Raw genomic sequence first — 26,523 nt, 5'->3', positions numbered from 1 at the left:
GGTCTTGCTACAATGCAGATTGATTCATTAGATCCTAAATGAGGCCTGAGATTCTGTATGTCAGGTGATATCAATGCTGCTGATCTCAGAACACACTTCAAGAACTATTCCTCCAGGCCAGGCGCGGTGGCTTACACCTGTAATCCAATAACTTTGGAAGGCCGAGGCGGGTGGATCACCTGAGGTCAGGAGTTCGAGACCAGCCTGACCAATATGACGAAACCCTGTCTCTACCAAAAATACAAAAATTAGCCGGGCGTGTTGGCACATGCTTGTAATCCTAGCTACTTGGGAGGCTGAGACAGAATCGCTTGAACCTGGGAGGCAGAGGTTGCGGTGAGCCAAGATCACACTGTTACACTCCAGCCTGGGCAACAAGAGCAAAACTCCGTCTAAAAAAAAAAAAAACTTTGCTCCAGTTCAAAAGAACTCTTCGGCTGTTCTTTTTCGGTGGGAGTGGTTAAAGAAGAGTCAACAACTATTTTTCCATGGGGATTTGAGGACAGTTTTGCAGTAAGAGTTGTTACGGATTGTATTGTGTCCCCTAAAGAGATGTTGAAGGTTTAATTTCCAGTACCTATGAATGTGACCTTATTTGGAAATAGGGTATTTGTAGATACAATCGTGTTAAGATGAAGCTGTTAGGGTTGGTCCTAATCCAATATCGTTGTTGCCTTTCTAAGAAGAGAAAAAGACCATGTGAAAATAGAGACATAAGGCCGGGTGTGGTGGCTTACATCTTTAATCCTAGCACTTTGAAAGGCCAAGGCGGGTGGATCACTTGAGGTAAGGAGTTCGACACCAGCCTGGCCAACATGGTAAAACCTCGTCTCTACTAAAAATACAATAATTAGCCAGGTGTGGTATCGGGCACCTATAATCCCAGCTACTCAGGAGGCTGAGGCAGGAGAATCACTTGAACCTGGGGTACGGAGGTTGCAGTGAGCCGAGATCACACCACTTCACTCCAGCCTGGGCAAAAGAATGAAACTCTATCTAAAAAAAAAAAAAGAAAAGAAAATAAGAGACATACAGTGCCTACATGACAACAGAGGCAGAGTTTGGAATGATGCAGCTGCAAGCTGAGGAACACCAAGGATTGCTGGCCATCACCAGAAGCTAGAAGGAGGCATTGAACAGTCTCCCTCAGAGCTCTCAGAAGGAATCAACCCTGCCAACACCTTGGTTTCAGACTTCTAGCCTCCAGAACTGCAAAGTGACAAATTCCCATTGTTTTTTGTTGTTTTGTTTTTTGTTTGTCTTTTGAGACGGAGTCTCGCTCTGTCGCCCAGACTGGAGTGCAGCGGCGTGATCTCGGCTCACTGCAACCTCTGCCTCCCGGGTTCAAGCGATTCTTCTGCCTCAGGCTCCCAAGTAGCTAGAACTACGGGCGCGTGCCACCACACCCAGCTATTTTTTGTATTTTCAGTAGAGACGGGGTTTCACCATATTGGCCAGGCTGGTCTTGAACTCCTGACCTCGTGATCCGCCCGCCTCGGCCTCCCATAGTGCTGAAATTACAGGTGTGAGCCACCGTGCCCGGCCTTAAATTCCCATTGTTTAAGCCACCCAGTTTGTGGTATTTTGTTCTGGCAGCCCTAGCAAAATAATTAATACCAGGGTTAAAAATACAAGCATTGGCTGGACGCAGTGGCTTATGTCTGTAATTCCAACACTTTGGGAAGCTGAGGAGGGAGAACTGCTTGAGCCCAGGAGTCCAAGACCAGCCTGGGCAACACAGCGAGACCCCATCTCCACAAAAAAATTAAAAATTAGCCAGGTGTGGTGATGCACACCTGTAGCCCCAGCTACTTGGGGGGATGAGGTAGGAGGATTGCTTAGAGCCAGGAGATAGAGGCTGCGGTGAGCTGTGATCATGCCACACTGCACTCCAGCCTGGGTGACACAGTGAGACTGTCTCACTCTCTCTCTCTCTCTCTCTCTCTCTCTCTCTCTCTCTCTCTCTCTCTCTCTCTGTGTGTGTGTGTGTGTGTGTGTGTGTGTGTGTGTGTATATATATATATATATATATATGCTTTGCAATCAGTGAGCTATTTACTAGCTATATGACCATAGACACATCAAGTCTCAGTTTCTTCATTTATTTATTTTTATTTTTATTTTTTTATTTATTTTTATTTTTTTGAGACAGAGTCTCGCTGTCTCCCAGGCTGGAGTGCAGTGGCGTGATCTCAGCTCACTGCAAGCTCCGCCTCCTGGGTTCACACCATTCTCCTGCCTCAGCCTCCCGAGTAGCTGGGACTACAGGCACCTGCCACCACGCCCAGCTAATTTTTTGTATTTTTAGTAGAGACGGGGTTTCACCGCGTTAGCCAGGATGGTCTTGATCTCCTCACCTCGTGATCTGCCCGTCTCGGCCTCCCAAAGTGCCAGGATTACAGGCGTGAGCCACCGCGCCCAGCAGTTTCTTCATTTTAAGAAGAGGGACAATATATATAATTGCTCACAGGATTGCTGAGACAATTAGAATAATGCATGTAAAGTACTTAGTAGAATGCTTGGTATAGGAAACCTTCAATACATGTTAACTAATATGTCACCCAGGCCTTCAATCCTTAGAAAATGAGTACAGCTGAGTGCGGTGGCTCATGCCTGTAATCCCAGCACTTTGGGAGACCGAGGAGTTCGAGACCAGCAAAACACTGTCTCTACTAAAAAATAAAAATAATAATAATAATACGAAAATTCGCTGGGTGCAGTGGCTCATGCCTGTAATCCCAGCACTTTGGGAGACCGAGGTGGGCAGATCACTTGAGGTCAGGCGTTCAAGACCAGTCTGGCCAACATGGTGAAACCCCTTCTCTACTAAAAATATAAAAATGAGCTGGGCGCAGTGGCACGTGCCTGTAGTCCCAGCTACTCGGGAGGCTGAAGCTGGAGAATTTCTTGAACCCAGGAGGCGGAGGTTTCAGTGAGCCGAGATCGTGCCACTGCCCTCCAGCCTGGGCAACAAAAGACGACTCCATCTCAAAAAAAAAAAAAAAGTACAAACGAGCCTTGACAATTACCACATTAAGTAATCTACAATATATACAGCTCTTGAGATTAAGAATTATGGCTCTGCAAATCTCAGAATTTAGGGTGATGGCCCTGAAGGAATTTTGGAGATCATTTAATACAGTAATGATGAAGAAGGGAAGAGTGATCATGTGAGAGTGTGCCCCAATCAGCTTGAGGTGGGAAGTAAATACTCCTCACTAAAGCACTATGTGTAACTGCTAAAAACTAGAAACAACCAACAATCTCTATCAATCCAGTTAAATAAATTATAGTAAAACCACACAGAGAAATAAAATACAGCTAGTAGATTTGCATACGCTAGTAAGAAAGTATATCCATACTACTAGAGAGAAAAAGCACAGCATAGTGGTTAGGGATGTAGATCCATAGTCAACCTACATATATTCGGCTGGGCAGTGGCTCACAGCTGTAATCCCAGCACTTTGGGAGGCCGAGGGGGGCAGATCACACGAGGTCAGGAGTTTGAGACCAGCCTGGCCAACATGGCAAAACCTTCTCTCCAATAAAAATATAAAAAGTAGTCGGGCGTGGTGGCATGCACCTGTAATCCCAGCTACTCAGAAGGCTGAGACAGGAGAATTGCTTAAACCTAGGAAGCAGAGGTTGCAGTGAGCCGAGATCGCGCCACTGCACTCCAACCTGGGTGACAGAGCAAGACTCCGTCTCAATTTTTAAAAAAAAAGCCAGGTGTGGTGGCTCACGCCCATAATCCCAGCATGTTAGGAGGCTGAGGCGGGCGGATCACAAGGTCAGGAGTTTGAGACAAGCCTGGCCAATATTGTGAAACCCTATCTCTACTAAAAATACAAAATAATAAGCCAAGCATGGTGGCACATGCCTGTAATCCTAGCTACTCGGGAGGCTGAGGCAGAAGAATTGCTTGAACCCGGGAGGCAGAGGTTGCAGTGAGTGAGATCATGCCACTGCACTCCAGCCTGGGTGACAAGAGTGAGACTAGGTCTCAAAAAAAAAAAAACAAGAAAAAAATAAAACTACCTATATTCAAAGCTCAGATATGTTCTGTACTAGCTTGTGTGATCTTTGCCATGTTGTAACCTCTTAGTGTATCAGTTTCTGTACCTGTAATGTAAAGATGGTAACAGTACCCACAGGATGCTGTGAGGATTAAATCAACTCAGGCAAAGTATATCAACCACTGCTCGGCATAAACTAAGTACTCAATGTAATAGGTAAAGGTCCTTCAGTATCTGGATCCCACCTATCTCTCCAGACTCATCACACGCGACAGCCTCTACTTCTAACCTGCTAAATTACTAAAGAGAATTCTGTACTGTGTTCTCACAGCACTCAGCTCATATCTCTATTGTCACTTACATCAAATTGTAGTTGGTGTATTTACACATTTATATCCCCTAGTAAATTGTGTTCCCCAGTACATCACAAAATTAAGAACTCTGTCTGGGTCATTCTAAGGAAGGAGACCACTACTACTCCTGCTGCCCTCCTCCCCCTACCTTGCCTAGTTCACAAGACAGGAGAAAAGACAAAGCAAAAAGTTGGAAAGAAACAAAAGTAAGATAAATAGCCAGACAACCTTGGCACCACTACCCGGCCCTAGGAGTTAAAAAAGTAATAATAACAACATCAACCCCTGACCTAAACTACTTGTGTTATCTGTAAATTCCAGACATTGTATGAAAAAGTATTGCAAAACTTTCTGTTCTGTTAGCTGATGCATGTATCCCCCAGTCACGTTCCCCACACTTGCTCAATTTATCATGACCTTTTCATGTGGACCTCTTAAGAGTTGTAAGCCTTTAAAAAGGCCAAGAATTTCTTTTTCAGGGAGCTTGGCTCTTAAGACACAAGTCTGCTGATGCTCCTGGCTGAATAAACCTCTTCCTTCTTTAATCTGATGTCTGAGGAGTTTTGTCTGCAGCTTGTCCTGCTACATTTCTTGGTTCCCTGACCGGGAAGCGAGGTGATTAATGGACGGTCGACACAGCCCCTTAGGCAGCTTATGCCTGCCCTGTAGAGCATCCCTGTGGGGGACTCCGGCCAGCTTGAGCAATGTAGATCCTGATGAGCGCTCCCAGGCAGGCATTTGCCCCGGTACAACGCCTCATCAGAGCGGTGCATGGCAAGCCCACATGAAGGACCAATGCAGTGGCTGAACACTGGGAAGGAACTGGCACTTTAAGTCTGGACATCTGAAACTTGGTAAGACTGGTCTTTGGAACTTGCCCACTCCATTTGAGTGGAAGCATGGCATGATCACCCACGGCGTGCCTGTACCGGCACTTTGGGTTTTGTTTTTGACTTGACTTGCATTGCTTGATAATTTGGTTTTAGTTTTGATTTTGACTTGACTTGAATTGCTTGATAAACAGGCATGCCTTTATTGGCACTTTGGTTTTGGTTCTGATTTTGACTTGGCTTAAATTGCTTGACGAACAGAGGTGCCTTTAACGACACTTTGGTTTTAGTTTTGATTTTGATTTAGTGTGAAATAGACGAGTGAGTGACCTTTTACCCTTTCCTTCTTGTAGTGTGAATGTTGTTTTGTCTCGAGAGAAAAATAGGTCAGACACAAAGTAAGCCCACTCTGCTAGAAACTGTGTTAAAAAAAATTCCAAGAAAAGAAAAATAAAAGGAAAGTAATCATCAAAACTTACTCTATTAAAATGCATGTTACAAAACCTTAAGAAAGGTTTTGCAGGGGATTATAGAGTTAAGTTAACCCCCCAGAGGTTAAGAACTCTGGGTGAATTAGAATTGCCCTCTTTTGGTGTTGGATGGCCCACCAAAGGAACTACAGACAGGGAACAATTGGCCATGTATTTAAGGTGGTGACAGGGGTCGGAGGACAGCCAGTGTACCTGTAGCAATTCCTTTATATTGACTCATGGTTAAATATAATATAGACAAAACTGGCATAAATTTAGCCCTGTTTAACAGCTTATTGCAAAAAAGCCAAAAGTAAAAGTAAGAGCAGCTTCGCCAGCAGACACAGAGTTAAAAAGGGAGTCCCAGAAACAGCAAGAGAAGCCAGTTTTGCAGAAGCCGCCAGAGATAAACAGAAATTCTTTCTCCATATGTCCTAGCCTACCCCCCTTTACCGAGGCCAACAGCCCCCTCAGAAACCAGATTCAGGAGCTAACACACCCCAGGTCTCACCTCGAAGGGGAGAATCGGAACCTCGAGAGGCCAAGGAAGGAAGTCAAGATAGTCAAGTGGGCCATCTCAGATCTGGTCTTGCTCGAGCTATGCAAATGCCTCTCAGGGAGAGGTGAGGACCTGTCTATTTATAATGACCAGGCCCACATCCGGGGGGACAACAGACTTTCATCTATCAGCCCTTTTCAACCATTGATCTACTAAACTGGAAACACCCTGAACCCGCCACCTTGCTCCTGGCAACTAGAGCCCTGTCGAGCATAACTGTGTAGAGGTGTTGGACTCAAGTTTACTCTAGCAGACCTGACCTCCAGGACCAGCCTTGGGCATCAGTAGGCTGGGAGCTATACGTGGATGGGAACAGCTTCATCAACCCACAAGGAGACAGATGTGCAGGATACATGGTGATAACCCTGGACATTGTCGCTAAGCTGAGCTCATTCCTTTAATTCAGGCCTTAGAACTCAGTGAAGGTAAGACTGTAAACATTTACACTGACTCTCGGTATGCCTGTTTAACCCTCCAAGTGCATGGATAATTAAATAAAGAAAAGGGCCTGTTAAACTCTAGGAAAAATAGGAAAAAGACCCAGAGAATGCAACTCAGCTTCAGCGTTTGCAGAGATACTGAGAAGCACTTCTGCAGAGGCAAACAGTTGGTAGAAAAAAAGCAATTAATATAAAAAAGATTTCAGAAGTGCTTCAAGGAGCTGACAAGAGCCTAAGTCAGTTTTATAAGAGACTCTATAAAGCATTCTGGCTTTACACCCCATTTAACCCTGAGGCTGCTGAAAAATCAGTATATAGTGAATACCTCATTTGTAAAGCAAGCCCAGAATAACATCAAGCAGAAGCTGCAGGCATGAATACCACCCAGTCTATAAAAGTGGCCACCAAGGTGTATGTTAACTGGGACCAAGGAACAAAAAGGGAAAGAGCAAAAGCAACAATCGAAGCAGCTAGGCACGCCAAGGATTAAGTCCCTCTCCCCAGCCTGGCTCTATCTAAAAAAAGAAGGAGCCAGGGACTGGCGCCGGGAAAAGACCAAAAGAAAAAGAAAGACTAAGACTAAGTGTGAAAAAGAGAATCAGAAGTAAACAAGAGAGACAGACAGCAGTGCGCGGGGGCAGGGCCCGTGCTGTTGCCTGGCCCTGCCAGCTGGCCGTAGGAGCAGGAGAACTCAGGAAGGAAAAAAATAAATAAATTAAAGACTTAAAAAAGCCAATCTGTTAGCAACAGCTCTTATAAAAAGAGAGATTAGCAATGTGAGAGGACGTGGATGCGGACATAGACGTGGAAGAAGTCACGTTAGGCAAGGATTCAAGAGCCGGACAAGGCTAGAGAGGGATTAATGTACGAGATGCAAAAAGAAAGGACACTAGAAGGGTGAATGTTCAGAAGGCAATAAAGGAAATGGCCAAGGCGGCAAGACAAAGAGGCCATCGGCCAAGGGCTGCCGCACCTTGGAGGAACCAAATACTGATCTGATCAGGCTGGCAGGAGCTGAAGAATGTAAAGACTAGGGCAGACTAGGCACCTTCTCTTTAGGCTCCCAGGAGCCCATGGTCACATTAGAAGTTAAAAGCAGCAGGATTCTGCCGTATTTGGACTCCAATTTCTCACTGATGGCTAAGCCACTAGATAGAGTTATAAAGGGGGGGAAGAAAAAGAACCCCTCCAAGAAACTTAAACAGGAGAAAGAGCCATACCTTGTGAAAACTTGCTTATAGACTTTACAGAACTGACCCATGCTGGAGGCTATCGGTACATGCTAGTGCTTGTTTGCACCTTTTCAGGGTAAGTTAAAGTTTTCCCCACCAGGACAGAAAAAGTACAAAAAGTAACTAAAGTACTGTTTAAAAGACATTATCCCCAGGTTTAGACTGCCTCTAACTTTAAAGTCAGACAATAGGCCAGCATTTGTAGCTGAACTAGTGCAAGATTTAACAAGACTGTTAAAATGGAAGTTACACACAGCCTATTGGCCGCAAAGTTCAAGATAAGGTGGAATGCATGAACTGGACACTTGAGCAGCTACTGAAAAAATATTGCCAGGAAATACATTTAAGATAAAATCAGGTTTTTGCCTATGGTCCTCCTCCGAGTCAGGTGCACCCCCACCAAACAAACTAGGTATTTGTTCTGTAAGATTTTGTTCGGTCAGCCACCCCCAAATTACAGGTCAAATTAGAGGTGACCTCCAGGAACTAAAGGAATTAACCTTAAGAAAGCAAATGCAGTTTTTAGAAATAGCCATACAAAGTGTTCATAATTAAATACATACAAATGCCTATAAGCCTGACACCGCTTTAAATCTAGTGACTCTGTTTAAAGTAAAAAAGTAAAATCTAATTTTTCTAGGACCCATATAGGATGGGCCCTATACTGTAATCTTGTCTACTCCTACTGCTGTTAGAAGTTGCAGGTGTTGTGTCTCAGATCCATCCCAGTCAGCTAACACTGGCAGCTCAGGACAAGCAGACCAGCCAGCAGGACACAGATCATCCAACCCGGCTGATCCTGAGATGAGACCAAGCTGCTGCTGAGGACGATAGCCCTGCTCTGGTCACTCCAGAGGCTGACCAGTCTATGCATGGCTGAAGCTTGAAACAAGCCCTGCTCTAGTCACACTGGCAGCTGACTAGTCTACTCACAGCCAAAGCTTAAGGACTTACCAAGCCAAGTGATGTAGTTAAAAATCTTAAGACTAGTAGTTTTCCTGTAATACTACCTGTTTTCCTATTGTTCTGTCTCTGTATTCAACCTTTTTCCCAGGTAAGGACCTCTTTTGTCTTTGCTGGATATGAATATGCTGTACATTGTTTTGTTGTTGTTACCCCCCATAACCATGCTAGAAGAAACACCTATATAAGGTATCCCCACTGTACACATACTACTTAGTCAGGAAACCCAGGCCCATCCCACCCAGCAACAATTCCGAGTCTTTAAGTCATTCTTTCAACATATAAACCAGAAGTTTACCAGAGCATCCTCCTTTAGCAAAAAAAAAAAAAAAAAAAAAAAAAAAACACCTATTTGCTCAGCTGGCTGAAAACATTGCCGGCAGCCTAGACGTTTCCTCATGTTATGTTTATAAAAAGGCTAACATAAGAGACCAATGGCCTTGAGAAGCAAAAGAGTTAATGCCTCAAGATAACTTTACTTTAACTAACTCTTTCCCCAAACAGACGCCACAATTTCAAGCATCTGGCTCTTAAAAACTTCCATTATTAAGAAATACTGTGTTACTCGCTACGAAAAAGCTTTTAAAACCCAGTAAAAGAACTAACCTGCTTAGGACATGACAAAGTTGGTACATTTGCCTGTACAGGTTTAACACAGGTTTGATCCTAGGTCTATATTTAGAAAATAGTTTCTAGCTGTAAGCGAATTTAAAACCCTCATTGTAAGTGTATTACTAGTAATAGAAACTTGCTTGCTGCTCCCCTGTGTATTACGCTTGCTCCTTCAAATGATAAAAGGTTTTGTAGCTACCATGGTTTGTCAAAAAACTTCAGCACAAGTGTATTACATAAAACACTATCACTCTGTCTCGCAAAGAGACTCAAAGTAAAAATAAAAGTGAGAACTCCACTAATTAGTGAAATTCTCAAAGAGGGGGATAAGGAAGGAGACCACTACTATTCCTGCTGCCCTCCTCCCCCCACCTTGCCTAGTTCACAAAACAGGAGAAAAGAGAGAAAGCAAAAAGTTGGAAAGAAACAAAAGATAAACAGCCAGACAACCTTGGCACCACCACCGCGGCCCTAGAAGTTAAAAAAGTAATAATAATAACAATCCCTGACCTAAACTACTTGTGTTATCTGTAAATTCCAGACATTGTATGAAAAAGCATTGCAAAACTTTCTGTTCTGTTAGCTGATGCATGTAGCCCCCAGTCACGTTCCCCATGCTTGCCCAATTTATCATGACCTTTTCACGTGGACCCCTTAGAGTTGTGTAAGCCTTTAAAAAGGCCAAGAATTTCTTTTTCAGGGAGCTCAGCTCTTAAGATGCAAATCTGCCGACACTCCCAGCCGAATAAACCTCTTCCTTCTTTAATCTGGTGTCTGAGGAGTTTTGTCTGCAGCTCTTCATGCTACAAGTCATTCATTCACTCACTTTTACTCATTCTATATTTATATATATATTTATATATTTTTTAATATATTTATATTTATAGATTTATATTTATATACATATATACACACACACATATACACACACACACACACCCCTATATATATATACATATATACACGTTTTTTTTTTTAGATGGAGTTTCACTCTTGTCGCCCAGGCTGGAGTGCAATGGTGTGATCTTGGCTCACTGCAACCTCTGCCTCCCAGGTTCAAGCAATTCTCCTGGCTCAACCTCCCAAGTAGCTGGGATTACAGGTGCCTGCCACCATGCCCAGCTAATTTTTGTAGTTTTAGTAGAGACAGGGTTTCACTATGCTGGCCAGGCTGGTCTCAAACTCCTGACCTCAGGCAATCCGCCTGCCTCGGCCTCCCAAAGTGCTGGGATTACAGGTGTGGGCCACCACACCCAGCCTAATTTTTGTATTTTTAGTAGAGATGGGGTTTCACCACATTGGCCAGGCTGGTCTCGAACTCCTGACCTCAGGTGATCCACCCACCATGGCCTCCCAAAGTGCTGGGATTACAGGCGTGAACCACTGCACCCAGCCCAACAAATATTTTTGATCTACCATACACGTCAGGCACTTCTTAACTGTATCCTCAAAGCTGAGACCCTGTAGGTACTCAAAAAATACAAGACATAGTTTGCTATAGTAGAAAGCAAACAGAACCAGGCGTGGTGGTACACGCCTGTAGTCCCAGCTACTCAGGAGGCTGAGATGGGAGGATCATTTAAGCCCAGGAGGAGGTTGCAGTGAACCGAGATCCCACCACTGCACTCCAGCCTGGGTGACAGGGTGAGACCCTGTCTTGAGAAAAGTAAGTGAAAGAAAAGAAAGAAAAGAAAAAAGAAAAGAGGCCGGGCACAGTGGCTCACGCCTGTAATCCCAGCACTTTTGGAGGCTGAGGCAGGCGGATCATGAGGTCAGGAGATCGAGACCATCCTGGCTAACACGGTGAAACCCCGTCTCTACCAAAAATACAAAAAAATCAGCCAGGCATGGTGGCAGGCACCTGTAGTCCCAGCTACTCAGGAGGCTGAGGCAGGAGAATGGCATGAACCCGGGAGGCGGAGCTTGCAGTGAGCCGAGATCCGGCCACTGCACTCCAGCCTGGGCGACAGAGCGAGACTCCGTCAAAAAGAAAAGAAAGCGAAATCCGGATAGAAAAACATTGGACTGGGCCAGGCGTGGTGGCTCAGCACTTTGGGAGGCCAAGGCCCAGGAGTTCGACACCAGTCTGAGTATCATGGCAAAACCCTGTCTCTACAAAAAAATAGAAAACTTAGCTGGGCATGGTAGTGCGTGCCCGTGGTCCTAGCTGTTCGGGAGGCTGAGGTGGGAGGATCACCTGAGCCCAGGAGGTGGAGGCTGCAGTGAGCCATGATTGCACCACTGCACTATAGCCTGGGTGACAGAGTGAGATCCTGTATCAAACAAAAACAAAATATTGGGCTGGAATTGAAAAGTTGCCACATGCAATCTTTTGTATGTCAATTAATCTTTCTCGACCTTACGTTTTTTTTGGCTGTATGATATGAGAAGACCCAACACAGCTCCTAGTACAGAATAAGAGAGTAAATAAATGTTAATTTCCTTCCTCCTATAGTAGGTGTGTGCTTTAAAATTTAACTAGATTTCCAATTTCAATCTTATTTGGGCCAAATCTCCTGCTGAAAACTACAAGTGCTAAATAAAATGCAGCACATATCTCCCTAAAAGCAACATCAGCTGACAAGAAAATAAGGAACTACCATGCAAATTTCTAAAGGAAAGCAGACCAGTGAGGTAAGCTTGGTAGGGAGCACTGATGCTGCTATTGCCCTGAGGATAACTGCTGATCAGGACAAACGTGGACCTCAGTTTTGGTGGCCTCATGGGTTGAGGAGGAAAGAACTCAGGGCCCAGGGCCCTCCCAGATGAAAAGGCTAGTATGAGACCCTCTGTACGTGAAGCTGAGACCACCCACCTCCCCCAAAAGGCCACACCCTCAAGGTAAAGGTGAGCCAGAAGTAAACCTGCTCCATGCCTCCAACAAACTTAGGAAGACTGCCCTGATACTAAACAAACAAGGGGGTGGCCGGGAACAGGTGGAGGAATAAAACTGGCCTTGAAAAATTTTCGCCAGGCCAGGTGCTGTGGCTCATACCTGTAATCCTAGCACTTTGGGAGGTCGAGGCAGGTAGATCACTTGAGGTCAGGAGTTCGAGACCAGCCCGGCCAACATGGTGAAACCCCATCACTAAAATTAGCCAGGCGTGGTGGCGTGTGCCTGTAGTCCCAGCTACTTGGGAGGGTGATGCAAGAGAATCAATGGAACCTAGGAGGCAGAAGTCGCAGTGAGCGAAGATCACCCCACTGCACTCCAGCCTGGGTGACAGAGAGTCTGTCTCAAAAAAAAAAAAAAAAGAAAAGTTTTGGCCAGAGACCGCCTGTAACAAATTTACAGGCTGGATTCATATCACCTAGGTAGCCCAGGAATTTCAAGTTGTGAATTTGTTTTAAGATGGTCCCAGACTGGTAATCCCCAAAGACACTTTGGAGAAGTCAACGAAAGTCCTCTCTGGAGCAATGTACTTTGACCCTACAACTTAAAGAAACCCCACAAATGATTTTCAAGGACAATGAGTATGTACTCAAAATAATGAGGCACAAAAGGAAAAATGACATCATGAGCAAGAACTAGAAAAAACCTGCAAAGATTTCAGATACAGCAATTATCAGAGGCAGATTTTAAATGAACTAAAGTTAATATATTTAAAAGAAATAAAAAAGCAAGTGTGAAAATATATGCATGAAAAAGAAAACAAGGGCCAGTTGCAGTGGCTCACACCTGTAATCCCAGCACTTTGGGAGGCCGAGGTGGGTGGATCACTTGAGGTCAGGAGTTCGAGACCAGCCTGGTCAACATGGTAAAACCCCCGTCTCTACTAAAATACAAAAATTAGCTGGCCGTGGTGGTGGGCACCTGTAGTCTCAGCTACTCAGGAGGCTGAGGCAGGAGAATCGCTTGAACCTAGGAGGTGGAGGTTGCAGTGAGCCAGGATGGCACCACTGCACTCCAGCCCAGGCGACAGAGCAAGACTCTGTCTCAAAAAAAAACAAAAGCAGAAAATAAGAAACAGGTGAAGAGAGAATTTACAGACTGGATGATAGGCCAGGAAAACATAACACAAAGAAAAAAAAGGAAAACATAGAAGAGAAGTTATATATGGGGCAGAAAATAAGGAGCATTTAACATAGCTTTAAATGGAGTCTCAAAAGGAAAGAAGAAAATATCTGGCAATGGCTGAGAATTCCAGAACTGATAGAAGACAGTAATAAAGGAAACCCAAGGAATTACAAACAGGATTAAAAGCAAAAAAGAAAACAAATCCATAACTAAACACATAATGAAACTGCATGAGACCATCTAAAGAAAGAGGTTCCTAAAAAGTGTGGATATAGGCTGGGCACAATGACTCACACCTGTAATCCCAGCACTTTGAGAGGCCAAGGCAGGTGGATTATCTGAGGTCAGGAGTTTGAAACCAGCCTGGCCAACATGGTGAAACCCCATCTCTACTAAAAATACAAAATTAGCTGGGCATGGTGGCGCATGCCTGTAATCCCAGCTACTTGAGAGGCTGAGGCAGGAGAATCACTTGAATCCAGAGGTGGAGGTTGCAGTGAGCCAAGATTGTGCCACTGCACTCCAGCCTGGGCAACAAAGCGAGACTCTGTCAAAAAATAATAGTAAAATTAAAAAATAAATAAAAAGTGTAGACATAGGCTGAGTGTGGTGGCTCACGCCTGTAATCCCAGCACTTTGGGAGGCCGAGGCGGGTGGATCAAAAGGTCAGGAGTTCGAGACCAGCCTGACCAATATGGTGAAACCTCGTTTCTACTAAAAAAACAAAAATTAGCCAGGTGTGATGGCGCATGCCTGTAATTCCAGCTACTTGGGAGGCTGAGGCAGGAGAATTGCTTGTACACAGGAGGCAGAGGTTGCAGTGAGCCAAGATCATGGCATTGCACTCCAACCTAGGTGACAGAGCAAGACTCGGTCTCAAAAACAAACAAACAATATGTTGTACACAAGAGACATATCTAAAACAAAGAGATTCTGAAAACTTAAAAATAGAAGGATAAGCAAAGTTATACCAAGCAAATGCATACAAAAAGAAAGCAAGGCCGGACACGGTGGCTCACGCCTATAATCCCAACACTTTGGGAGGCAGAGGCAGGCAGATCACCTGAGGTCAAGAGTTCAAGACCAACCTGACCAACGTGGACAAACCCGTCTCTACTAAAAATACAAAATAAGCCAAGCATGGTGGCACATGTCTGTAATTCCAGCTACTCAAGAGGCTGATGCCGGAGAATCGCTTGAACCCAGGAGGTGGAGGTTGCGGTGAGCCAAGATTGCGCCACTGCACTCCAGCCTGGGCAACAAGAGTGAAACTCTGTCTCAAAAAAAAAAAAAAAAAAAAAAGGTGGCCTGATTCAGTCATTCCACAATGCAAGCATATATCAAAACAGCATGTTGTACACCGTAAATATAAACACTTTGTCAACTTTAAAAGTAAAAATTAAAATTAAAAATAAAACAGGCCGGGAACAGTAGTTCACGCCAGTAATCCCAGCACTTTGGGAGGCCAAGGCAGGTGGATGACCTGAGGTCGGGAGCTCGAGATCAGCCTGGCCAACATGGCGAAACCCCATCTCTACCAAAAATACAAAAATTAGCCATGCATGGTGGCAGGTGCCTGTAGTCCCAGCTACTCTGGAGGCAGAGTCAGGAGAATCACTTGAACCTGGGAGGCAGAGGTTGCAGTGAGCTGAGATTGTGCCAATGCACTCCAGCCTGGGCGACAAGAGCGAAATTCCATCTCAATAAATAAATAAATAAATAAATAAAAATATGTTTCTTAAAAAAGAAAATAAGGAGGTGGGACTTCCTTCTTGGCCCAAGACATGGTAGAATAACAAAGACCAGATTTACCCTCCTACTTACACAACTTTAAAAATGAGTAAAATATGTAAAGCAACAGTTTCCAAACATTGGACAAGAAATATAAGAGTGATCACCTAGGGAAGGGGAACAAATAAGATAAGCCCTACTATTGCCTCCAGCTTACTTCCTAGATAAAATTTCCAGGCTGTGACACAGGGAAAAGGTATCCATGCACAGCCCTGCAGTCTCCTAGGGTTGAGAAAACAAAGTTCAAAGTCCAGGGAGGCCAAAGGCACTAGAATTCATGGAGCAGAGGACCAGAGAGAACAGAGCTGCACACAGATAAGTTTCTGGAAATATGTAGAGTTTTCCTTATCTGGTCCGTACATGCGTGTAAGGTGTGTCTGTTATTGATATATTGCCTCTCAGCTCCAAATTCATGAGTTTTGCCCCCCATGAAAATAATTCAGACCCTTTAAATAGTTTACCTCTACAAACTGGCACTAAAGCAGGTTTGTCAGTAGAGGGCGCTGGAGAGACATCGCAAGGGAAAGGGTTTATTTCCTGGTTGATCTTGGCTCACTCCACAGGCTTCTGTTTTCTTTCAGCATGCTGCAGCCCCTAATGAATGAATGAACCCAGGTATCACAACAAAAAAGAGAGACAAAAAAAATCATGTGCCTCCTGATGAAAGAACACAACTGCCACCTCACCTTCTCAAAGAAGCCAAACCTGAATCTGATCAAGCCACTGGATCCAGCTGCCAATTTGCAGGAAATATAGGACACAGGAACATGCACAATGGATTGGATTGAATGATACAGGGATGGACAGATATGTGATAAATCAAATAGAGCAAAATGGTAATTGCAGAATATAAATGTTGGATAGATGAGTGTCCACTATATAATTCTATTTTTTTTTTTTTTTTTTTTGAGACAGGGTATCACTCTATCACCCAGACTGGGGTGCAGTTGTGCTATCACAGCTCACTGTAGCCTCAGCCTCCTGGGCTCAAGCGATCCTCCCACCTCAGCCTCCTGAGTAGCTGGGACTACGGATGCATGCCACCATGCACCAATTTTTAAAAACTTTTTGGAGAGATGGGGTCTTGCAATATTGCCCTGGCTGATCTCCAACTCCTGGGCACAAACGATCCTCCCACCTTAGCCTCCCAAAGTGCTGCGATTATAGGCGTGAGCCACTGCGCCTGGCCCACCCAAGTTTTCTGTTTGAAAATGCTCATAGTAAAATGTTGACAAAAGACATATAAAAAGTCAAGTTTAAACTATACTGTGGCTAGGCGTGGTGGCTCACACCTGTATTCCCAGCACTTTGAGAGGCCAAGGTGGGCAGATCATCTGAGGTCAGGAGTTCAAGAGCAGCCTGGCCAACCTGGTAAAACTCCATCTCTACTAAAAATATGAAAATCAGCCAGGCACGGTGGTGTGCGCCTGTAATCCCAGCTATTTGGGAGTCTGAGGCAGGAGAATCACTTGAACCCAGAAGGTGGAAGTTGCATGAACCGAGATCGCGCCACTGCACTCCAGCCTGGGCAACAGAGCAAGACTCCATCTCAAATATAAAAATAAAATATAGTGTCTAGGGAAGTATATTTAGGTGGTGAAACTACAAAAGAAACTCAAGGAAGTGATTAGTATAAAAGTTACAATAGTGGTTACTTTGGGAGAAAGCAGCATGTTGTAAATGGGCAGGGACACATGGAATCCTTCTGAGGTACCTGGCCAAATTCTATTCTTGGCCCTGTTGTGGTTTACGAAGGTGTCCCCCTTGTAATTATTCATTAAATGCTATTTCTGTTCTCTGTGGCTTTCTGTCTGTATTTTACAACAAAAGGGTTGTTTTTTTAAAAGTCCGTATCCTTTGACCCAGCAACCACTTTAGGATAATTATTAATTACTAATTACCCTAAAGTAATTATCAGTAGAGAATCGTTTAAGCCCAGGAGTTGGAGACCAGCCTGAACAACGTTGTAAGACCCCACCTCTACAAAGTCCGTATCCTTTGACCCAGCAAATAATTAGTAATTATCCTAAATAATTAAGACTACATAGATGGCTGTACAACAATAGCTGTCATTTATTGAGTGCCTACTATGTATTAAACACTGCTCTAGCACTTTACAAGTATTATCCTATTTATCCTTGTAACAACCCTGTGTATTACAGTACACACGATTCTTTTTTAGAGACGGAGTCTCACTCTGTTGCCAGGCTAGAATGCAGTGGCGCAATCTTGGCTCACTGCAACTTTGGAGGCCTCAGCCTCCCGAGTAGCTGGGACTACAGGCACGCACCACCACGCCCAGCTAATTTTTATAGTATACGCTATGATTATTTCCATTTTACAGATGAGACTAAAGAGGTGAAAGAACACTGATTATTTCCATTTTACAGATGAGACTAAAGAGGTGAAAGAATGTTGACCACATCATTATTAATAAAAAATATGGGTCAGGCACAGTGGCTCACGCCTACAATCTCAGCACTTAGGGAGGCCGAAGCAGGTGGATCACTTGAAGTCGGAAGTTCGAGACCAGCCTGGCCAACATGGCAAAATCCTGTCTCTACTAAAGATACAAAAATTAGCCGGGTGTGGTGGCACATGCCTGTAATCCCAGCTACTTGGTAGGCTGAGGCACGAGAATCACTTGAACCCCGGAGGCAGAGGTTGCAAGTGAGCCAAGATCACACCACTCGCATTCCAGCCTGGGCAACAGAACAAGACTCTGTCTCCAAAAAAATAAATAAATAACAAATATAGATATAGATATAAAATATGTATTATATATATATGAACATGGAAAGAAGTCCATCATAAACTTCTCAGTAAAGACATAAAAGATCACATACATACATATATAAAATCTCACATGAAGTTATACACAGTATACATAAAAAAAATTTATTAAAATTGGAGAGGATTACGAGGAGACTCTTGGAACTCTATACCAAATAAAGAGTTTTGTAGGAGGTTTTCACAAGCCTATACTACTTTTGTAATTGTAAAAACCATAATGTTTCATAATAAGGAGGTGTGAGGTGGGGGTCTCAAAGATCCAGAGACCTACCTGGATCTCTGGCATGGTAGTGTGTCCAGAAATGGTGGGTTCTTGGTCTCACTGACTTCAAGAATGAAACCGCGGACCCTCGCGGTGACCGTTACAGTTCTTACAGGCGGTGTGTCTGGAGTTTGTTTCTTCTAGACGTTCGGATGTGTCCGGAGTTTTTTCCTTCTGGTGGGTTCATGGTCTCGCTGGATCAGGAATGAAGCTGCAGACCTTCGCGGTGAGTGTCACAGATCTTAAGGCGGTGTGTCTGGAGTCGTTCATTCCTCCCGGTGGGTTCCTGGTCTCACTGGCTTCCAGAGTAAAGCTTCAGACCTTCACGGTGAGTGTTACAGCTCATAAAGGCAGTGTGGACCCAAAGAAAGCAACAGGAAGATTTATTGCAAAGAGCAAAAGAACAAAGCGTCCACATCATGGAAGACAACCGAAGCGCCTTGCCACTGCTGGGTCCGGCAGCCTGCTTTTATTCCCTTATCTGGCCCCACCCACATCCTGCTGATTGGTCCATTTTACTGAGAGCTGATTGGTCTGTTTTACAGAGCGCTGATTGGTCCGTTTTGACAGGGTGTTGATTGGTGCATCTATAATCCCTGAGGTAGACTCAAAAGTTCTCCACGTCCCCACTAGATTAGCTAGATACGGAGTGTCGATTGGTGCATTCACAAACCCTGAGCTAGACACGGGGTGCTGATTGGTGTGTTTAAAAACCTTGAGCTAGATACAGAGTGCCAATTGGTGTATTTACAATCCCTTAGCTAGACATAAAGGTTCTCCAAGTCCCCACCAGAGTAGCTAGATACAGAGTGTCCATTGGTGCATTCACAAACCCTGAGCTAGACACAGGGTGCTGATTGGTGTGTTTAACAAACCTTGAGCTAGATACAGAGTGCCAATTGGTGTATTTACAATCCCTTAGCTAGACATAAAGGTTCTCCAAGTCCTCGCCAGACTCAGGAGCCCAGCTGGCTTCACCCCGTGGATCCTGCACCGGGGCCGCAGGTGGAGCTGCCTGCCAGTCCCACGCCATGCACTCGCACTCCTCAGCCCTTGGGTGGTCGATGGGACTGGGTGCCATGGAGCAGGGGGCGGCGCTCGTCGGGGAGGCTCCGGCAGTGCAGGAGCCCATGGCGGGGGGAGGCTCAGGCATGGCGGGCTGCAGGTCCCGAGCCCTGCCCCACAGGGAGGCAGCTAAGGCCCGGCGAGAAGTCAAGCACAGCAGCTGCTGGCCCAGGTGCTAAGCCCCTCACTGCCCCGGGCCGGCGGAGCCAGCTGGCCGCTCTGAGTGTGCAGCCCACCGAGCCCACGCCCACCCGGAAGTCACACTGCTGCTGTTCCTGCCCGCGCCTCTCCTCCACACCTCCCCGCAAGCTGAGGGAGCCAGCTCCTGCCTCAGCCAGCGCAGGAAGGGGCTCCCACAGTGCAGCAGCGGGTTGAAGGGCTCCTCAAGTGCCGCCAAAGTGGGAGCCCAGGCAGAGGAAGCGCTGAGAGCGAGGGAGGGCTGTGAGGGCTGCCAGCACACTGTCACCTCTCAGTAGGCTGAATAGAACAAAAGTAGGTGCCATGGCCGTGGGCCTAAAACATCATCATCTTAGCATCTCAAATCCCCAGAAACACTTCCATCTCCTCAGCCAATAGATATGAGGAGTAACTTTTTTAAAAGTGACAGGAGAGGCCGGGTGCGGTGGCTCACGCCTGTAATCCCAGCACTTTGGGAGGCCGAGGCGGGCGGATCACGAGGTCAGGAGATCAAGATCATCCTGGCTAACACAGTGAAACCCCGTCTCTACTACAAATACAAAAAATTAGCTGGGCATGGTGGCGGGCGCCTGTAGTCCCAGCTACTAGGGAGGCTGAGGTAGGAGAATGGCATGAACCCGGGAGGCAGAGCTTGCAGTGAGCTGAGATCATGCCACTGCATCCAGCCTGGGCAACAGTGCGAGACTCCATCAAAAAAAAAAAAAAAAAGTGACAGGAGTAATTGAAACTTTTGCACTGATCATCTCCTGGGGATGAAGCTATTTATGTTGGCATGAATTTTGAAAAAACTACCTCTAATACAGTGCTAAAACAAGAATGCAGAAACAGCAAATCAAAGTAGATGTACAAACTGAAATTGTATTGCCACAATTCCATAAGCTAAAGTGGTACATGATCAATATAGAAAAATAAGCAGAAGGTCGGGTGCGGTGCCTCACGCCTGTATTCCCAGCATTTTGGGAGGCCAAAGCAGGCAGATCACTCGAGGTCAGGAGTTTAAGACCAGCCTAGCCAACATGGTGTAACCACATCTCTACTAAAAAAATACAAAAATTAACCGGGGCTAGGTGGTGCGTGCCTGTAATCCCAGCTACGCCTGAGGAAGCCTGAGGCAGGAAAATTGCCTGAACCCTGGAGGCAGAGGCTGCAGTGAGCCAAGATCACACCACTGCCCTCCAGCCTGGGTGACAGAGTGAGGTTCCCTCTCAAACAAAAAACAAAAAGAAAAACAAGCAGAGGTTTCACTTAACCATAGTTATTGTTCTATACACACTGTCTTACTAACACAACATAGTCAGCTGAGGGTCACAGTGGGACTCCACCAACTGAGCCTTGCCAAGAGCTCTCTCATCTAAACACACTCACAGGATGTGCATATTGGCAAGCCTTTGCAGGTTATCTGGAGAATGAATTCCTAGCAGTGGAATTACCAGGTCAAATATATGTATCTTTTTTTATTTTGTTATATATATATACATATATATATATTATTGTTGTGTGTTATTTCATAAGTTTTGCTATTACTACGCATTATCACACATTTCTTCTATTTTACTAGCTACAGCCAAGTGTCCTCCAGCAAGACTTTATCAATTTACTATAATAGTGTGTTTACCTACATCTTAGCCAGCACTAGGCATCACCCTTTAATATGCTTGTAGATCCAACAGATGAACAATATTGCTTTTCGGCTGGGCGCAGTGGCTCACGCCTGTAATCCCAGCACTTTAGGAGGCTGAGGCGAGTGGATCATGAGGTCAGGAGTTCGAGACCAGCCTGACCAAGATAGCGAAACCCCGTCTCTACTAAAAATACAAAAATTAGCCGTGCACGGTGGCAGGTGCCTGTAATCTCAGCTACTTGGGAGGCTGAGGCAGGAGAATCACTTGAACCCGGGCAGCAGAGGTTGCAGTGAGCCAAGATCGAGCCACTGCACTCCAGCCTTGGCGACAAAGTAAGACTCAGTCTCAGAAAAAAAAAAAAAAATGCTTTTCAGTGTTGTCTTAATTTGTATCTCTTTAATTATGGCTGCAGTTGAGTATAGGTTCATGTTCTTTGTCCATTTGCATTTATTTTTCTGTAAAGCAGACTGTAGCCTTTGCCCATTTTTCTTTTGGTCTGTTTGCCTTTTCCTGATTGGTTTGCATATGGGCTCTGGATGAAAGAAATCAATCTTTCATCACCCCCAAATCACAAATAGTTTTTCTTGGTATATCAGTTGCATTTTGACTTTGCTATTTATTTTATTTGCCATGTAGAAGGATTTTTTGTTTTTATTTTTACATAGTCAGATTCATCCGTCATTTCCTTTATAGTTTCTGGAGCTTATACAGTACCTTGCCTCCTCATTCCATGTTTTCTTCTATCTTCCTAATGTTTAAAGTTTTAATTCCCTTGTAGTTCATTTGGGTATAAGGACTGAAGTATAGACCAAGATCATTTTATTCCTGTCCTGAAACAGTTGTCAGTCCCCACATCATTTATTGAACTGTCTTCGCTAATTTGAAACACCACCTTTGGTGGGGCACGGTGGCTCACGCCTGTAATCTTAGCACTTTGGGAGGCCAAGACGGGTGGATCACCTGAGGTCAGGAGTTTGAGACCAGCCTGGCCAACATGGTGAAACCCCGTCTCTGCTAAAAATACAAAAATTAGCCGGGCATGGTGGTGGGCGCCTATAATCCCAGCTATTCGGGAGGCTGAAGCAGGAGAATTGCTTGAACCTGGGGGACGGAGGTTGCAGTAAGCCAAGATCGCACCACTTCACTCCAGCCTGGGTGAAGACTGAAACTCCATAACTCCATCTCAAAAAAAAACACAGGGCGCCGTGGTTCATGCCTGTAATCCCAGCACGTTGGGAGGCTGAGGCGGGGAGATCACAAGGTCAGGAGATCGAGACCATCCTGGCTAACACAGTGAAACCCCGTCTCTACTACAAATACAAAAAAAAATTAGCCGGGCATGGTGGTAGGTGCCTGTAGTCCCAGCTACTCGGGAGGCTGAGGCAGAAGAATGGCGTGAATCCAGGAGGCGGAGGGCGGAGGTTGCAGTGAGCCGAGATCGTGTGCCACTGCACTCTAGCCTGGTCGACAGAGCGAGACTCGGTCTCAAAAAAAAGAAGAAAAGAAAGAAACACCACCTTTATGATAAACTGAAATTCCCATAAATAACTTCCATAAATATTTATGTCTCTTTCTGGACTCTATTCTAGCCCATTGTTCTCTGCTACTATATTTATCTAATAGTTCTTCAAATAAATTATCAAAACTTGACTTTTAGTGTGTTAGACCAAAAAAGGAGTTTTTTAACTTTTTTTTTTTTTTTTTTTTTTTTTTTGAAACAGAGTCTCACTCAATCACCCAGGCTGGAGTGCAATGGCGTGATCTTGGCTCACTGCAACCTCTGTCTCCAGGGTTCAAGTGATTCTCCTGCCTCAGCCTCCCAAGAAGTTGAGATCATCATCTCACTTCATGTAGCCTCTGGAAAATTCCACCGTACACTCATGAAAGAATGAGAGTGAAGAAGGCAAGTAACAGCTTAGTACTACTATGAAAATAGTTTGGACCTTGCAGACTCCCTGAAAAGTTCTCAGAGGCCCCCAGACCACACTTTGAAAATAATTGGTATAATTATTCCCACTGATATGATCAATGGCACTATAAACAACTTCTTATTATTTTTTTTTTTTTTTGAGATGGATTCTTGCTCTGTCGCCCAGGCTGGAGTGCAGTGGAGCAATCTCAGCTCACTGCAACTTCCACCTCCCAGATTCAAGTGATTCTCCTGCCTCAACCTCCCGAATAGCTGGGATTACAGGCGCCCAACACTACGCCTGGCTAATTTTTTTGTATTTTTAGTAGAGATCGGTTTCGCCATGTTGGCCAGGCTGGTCTTGAACCCCTGACCTCAGGCGATCCGCCCACCTTGGCCTCACAAAGTGCTGGCATGAGCCACCATGCCCAGCCTATAAACTTTTCTGAAACTTGCCTGAAACTTTCATTTTTCAACGAAAAGGAGCCTATGTGTCAGGGTGAAGGGAGGAGGACATCAGTATCTATCTAAAATAAATATCTTTAAAATAAAAATAGGCTGGGAGCAGTGGTGCACACCTGTAATCCCAGCACTTTGGGAGGCTGAGGCGGGCAGATCACTTGAGTCCAGGAGTTCGAGACCAACCTGGGCAACATGGCAAAACCCTATCTCTACAAAAACTACAAAGATTAGCCTGACGTGGTGGCACACGCCTGTAGTCCCAGCTACTCAGGAGGCTGAGGAAGGAGGATGGCTTGAGCCCTGGAGGTCGAGGTTGCAGTGAGCCGTGATCATGCCACTGCACTCAGCCTGGGTGACAAAGTGAGAAAGAAGAAGAAGGAGGAGGAGGAGAAGGAGAAGAGGAGGGGGAAGAGGAAGAAGAGGTAGAGGAGGTAGAGGAGGAAGAGGAGGAAGAGGAAGAAGAGGAAGAGGAAGAATAAGAAGGAGGAAGAGGAGAAGGAGGAGGAGGAGAAGGAGAAGAGGAAGGGGAAGAGGAAGAAGAGGAAGAGGAGGAAGAGGAAGAAGAGGAAGAGGAGGAAGAGGAAGAGGAGGAAGAGGAAGAATAAGAAGAAGGAGGAGGGGGAGGAGGAGGAGGAGAAGGAGAGGAGGAAGAGGAAATTCACAAGAAAGAGTATCACTATATAAAAGAAATAGCAAAAAGTAGCTGCTGGTTTTATTTAAGCTTTGTTGTTGTTTTTTTTTAGACAGAGTCTCACTCTGTCGCCACGCCTGGACTGCAGTGGCGCAGTCTGGGCTTACTGCAACCTCCACCTCCTGGGTTCAAGTGATTCCCGTGCCTCAGCCTCCCGAGTAGCTGGTACTACAGGCATGCACCACCACGCCCGGCTAATTTTTTTTTTTTTTTTTTTTTTTTTGTATTTTAGTAGAAACAGGATTTCACCATGTTAGCCAGGATGATCTCGAACTCCTGACCTTGTGATCCACCTGCCCTGGCCTCCCAAAGTTGTGATTACAGGCGTGAGCCACTGCACCCGGCCTTATTTAAGCTTTTACTTAACCTTGGTAATTTTATGTTGACAACCTACAAATGTTGGTAAAGTTATTGCTACTCCTGCCAACTGGGGGTTTTTCATCCTATTGGTCCCTTTCTTCTTCCCAGACTTGATCTTGAAAGATGTCGTCGTTAAATGTTCCCTAAGAACCCACTTTCATATATGGTCTCAAACACAGACCATATTAATGAACATTTCTCCTGTTCATTAACTCCTTTCTTCTGCCAGTTTACCCTTGCTTTCAAAGAACTATCAATTAAGCAGTTGTTTGTTGCTTCTCTTCCCATTTTCTTTACTTCTTTATCTCACTGCTTCCCATTGTGAAAAATACATAGCACTGAAGATATACAAGATGATTTTAGGTAGTAGATGGAAAAACAATTTTACCTTTTACATATTTACTTGAAATTAGATGAATAAAAAAGATAAGTAGTAGAGTAAATCTATAATTAGGGTATTATAGTTTCCTTTCTAAATACAGCATGGATTTTTTTTTTTTTTTGAGTAAGGGTCTCCCTCTGTTGACCAGGCTGGGGTGCAGTGGTGCAATCTGGGCTCACTGCAACCTCTGCCTCCCAGGTTCAAGCAATTCTCCTGCCTCAGCCTCCCAAGTAGCTGGGACTACAGGTGAGTGCCACCATGCCTGGCTCATTTTTTTGTATTTTTAGTAGAGACAGAGTTTTGCCATGCTGGCCAGGCTGGTCTCAAATTCTTGGCCTCAAGTGATCCACCCGCCTCAGCCTCCCAAAGTGCTGGGATTACAGGCATGAGCCGCTGCACCTGGCCTTAAATAACGGATTTTTTTAAAGTAGATAAATAATAATACAGGTGCTTGACATATAGCAAAAATTACCAAGGTGGTATGTGAAATGACTGAAATATAAGAAACACTGCCAGGTGCAGTGGCTCACGCCTGTAATCCCAGCACTTTGGGAGGCCGAGGCGGGTGGATCACTTGAGACCAGGAGTTCAAGACCAGCCTGGCCAACATGGTAAAACTCCATCTGTACTAAAAAAAAAAATACAAAAATTAGCCGGGTGTAGTGGCAGACACCTATAATCCCAGCTACTCAGAAGGCTGAGGCACGAGAATCACTTGAACCCGGGAGGTGGTGGTTGCAGTGAGCCAAGATGGTGCCACTTTACGCTAGCCTGGGTGACAGAGAGAAACCCTATATCCAAAAAATAATAATAAAATAAAATATAAAAAATAAAGAATACTTTTTTGGCAGGGTGTGGTGACTCACTTTGGGAGTCCAAGGTGGAAGCACTGCTTGAGGCCAGGAGTTCAAGACCAGCCTGGGCAACATAGCTAGACCCTGTCTCTACAAAAAGAAAATAAAAATAATAAAAAAAAAATAAGGTGACAGCAAAAAAGAAAAAACAAAGGCTGGGCACGGTGGCTAACACTTGTAATCCCAGCACTTTGGAAGGCTGAGGCGGGCGGATTACGAGGTCAGGAGTTCAAGACCAGCCTGGGCAACACAGTGAAACCCCGTCTCTACTAAAAATACAAAAATTAGCTGGGCGTGGTGGCGGGTGCCTGTAATCCCAGCTACTCAGGAGGCTGAGGCAGGAGAATTGTTTGAACCTGGGTGGTGGAGATTTCGAGTGTGCTAGATCACGCCACTGCACTCCAGCCTGAGCAACAGAGCTAGACTCTGTCTCAAGAAAAAAAAAAAAAAAAGACAAAAAAGAAAATCAAAACTTAACCAGGCATGGTGGCACATGCCTGTAGTCCTAGCTACTCAGGAGGCTAAGAGGATCAATTGAGCCCAGGAGTTTGAGGATGCAGTGAGCTATGATTACATCACTTTGCTCCAGCCTGGGCCACAGAACAATACCCTGTCTCAAAACAAACAAACAAAAAACTTCT

At 45.0% G+C, this 26,523-nt stretch overlaps 3 annotated features.

The window, feature by feature from the left end:
• Nucleotides 5,248-5,397: an enhancer, noted in NCBI's record as "active region_30003". NCBI's record gives its function as "activates an Ori minimal core promoter by ATAC-STARR-seq in GM12878 lymphoblastoid cells {active_cell/tissue: GM12878}" and the evidence as "EXISTENCE:reporter gene assay evidence [ECO:0000049][PMID:35858748]".
• Nucleotides 5,478-5,577: an enhancer, noted in NCBI's record as "active region_30002". NCBI's record gives its function as "activates an Ori minimal core promoter by ATAC-STARR-seq in GM12878 lymphoblastoid cells {active_cell/tissue: GM12878}" and the evidence as "EXISTENCE:reporter gene assay evidence [ECO:0000049][PMID:35858748]".
• Nucleotides 15,768-15,907: an enhancer, noted in NCBI's record as "active region_30001". NCBI's record gives its function as "activates an Ori minimal core promoter by ATAC-STARR-seq in GM12878 lymphoblastoid cells {active_cell/tissue: GM12878}" and the evidence as "EXISTENCE:reporter gene assay evidence [ECO:0000049][PMID:35858748]".

Source organism: Homo sapiens, chromosome X (assembly GCF_000001405.40).
Source record: "Homo sapiens chromosome X, GRCh38.p14 Primary Assembly".
NCBI lineage: Eukaryota > Metazoa > Chordata > Mammalia > Primates > Hominidae > Homo > Homo sapiens.
The sequence above is the reverse complement of the archived record's forward strand: the minus strand, read 5'-3'. Positions and strand labels throughout refer to the sequence as shown.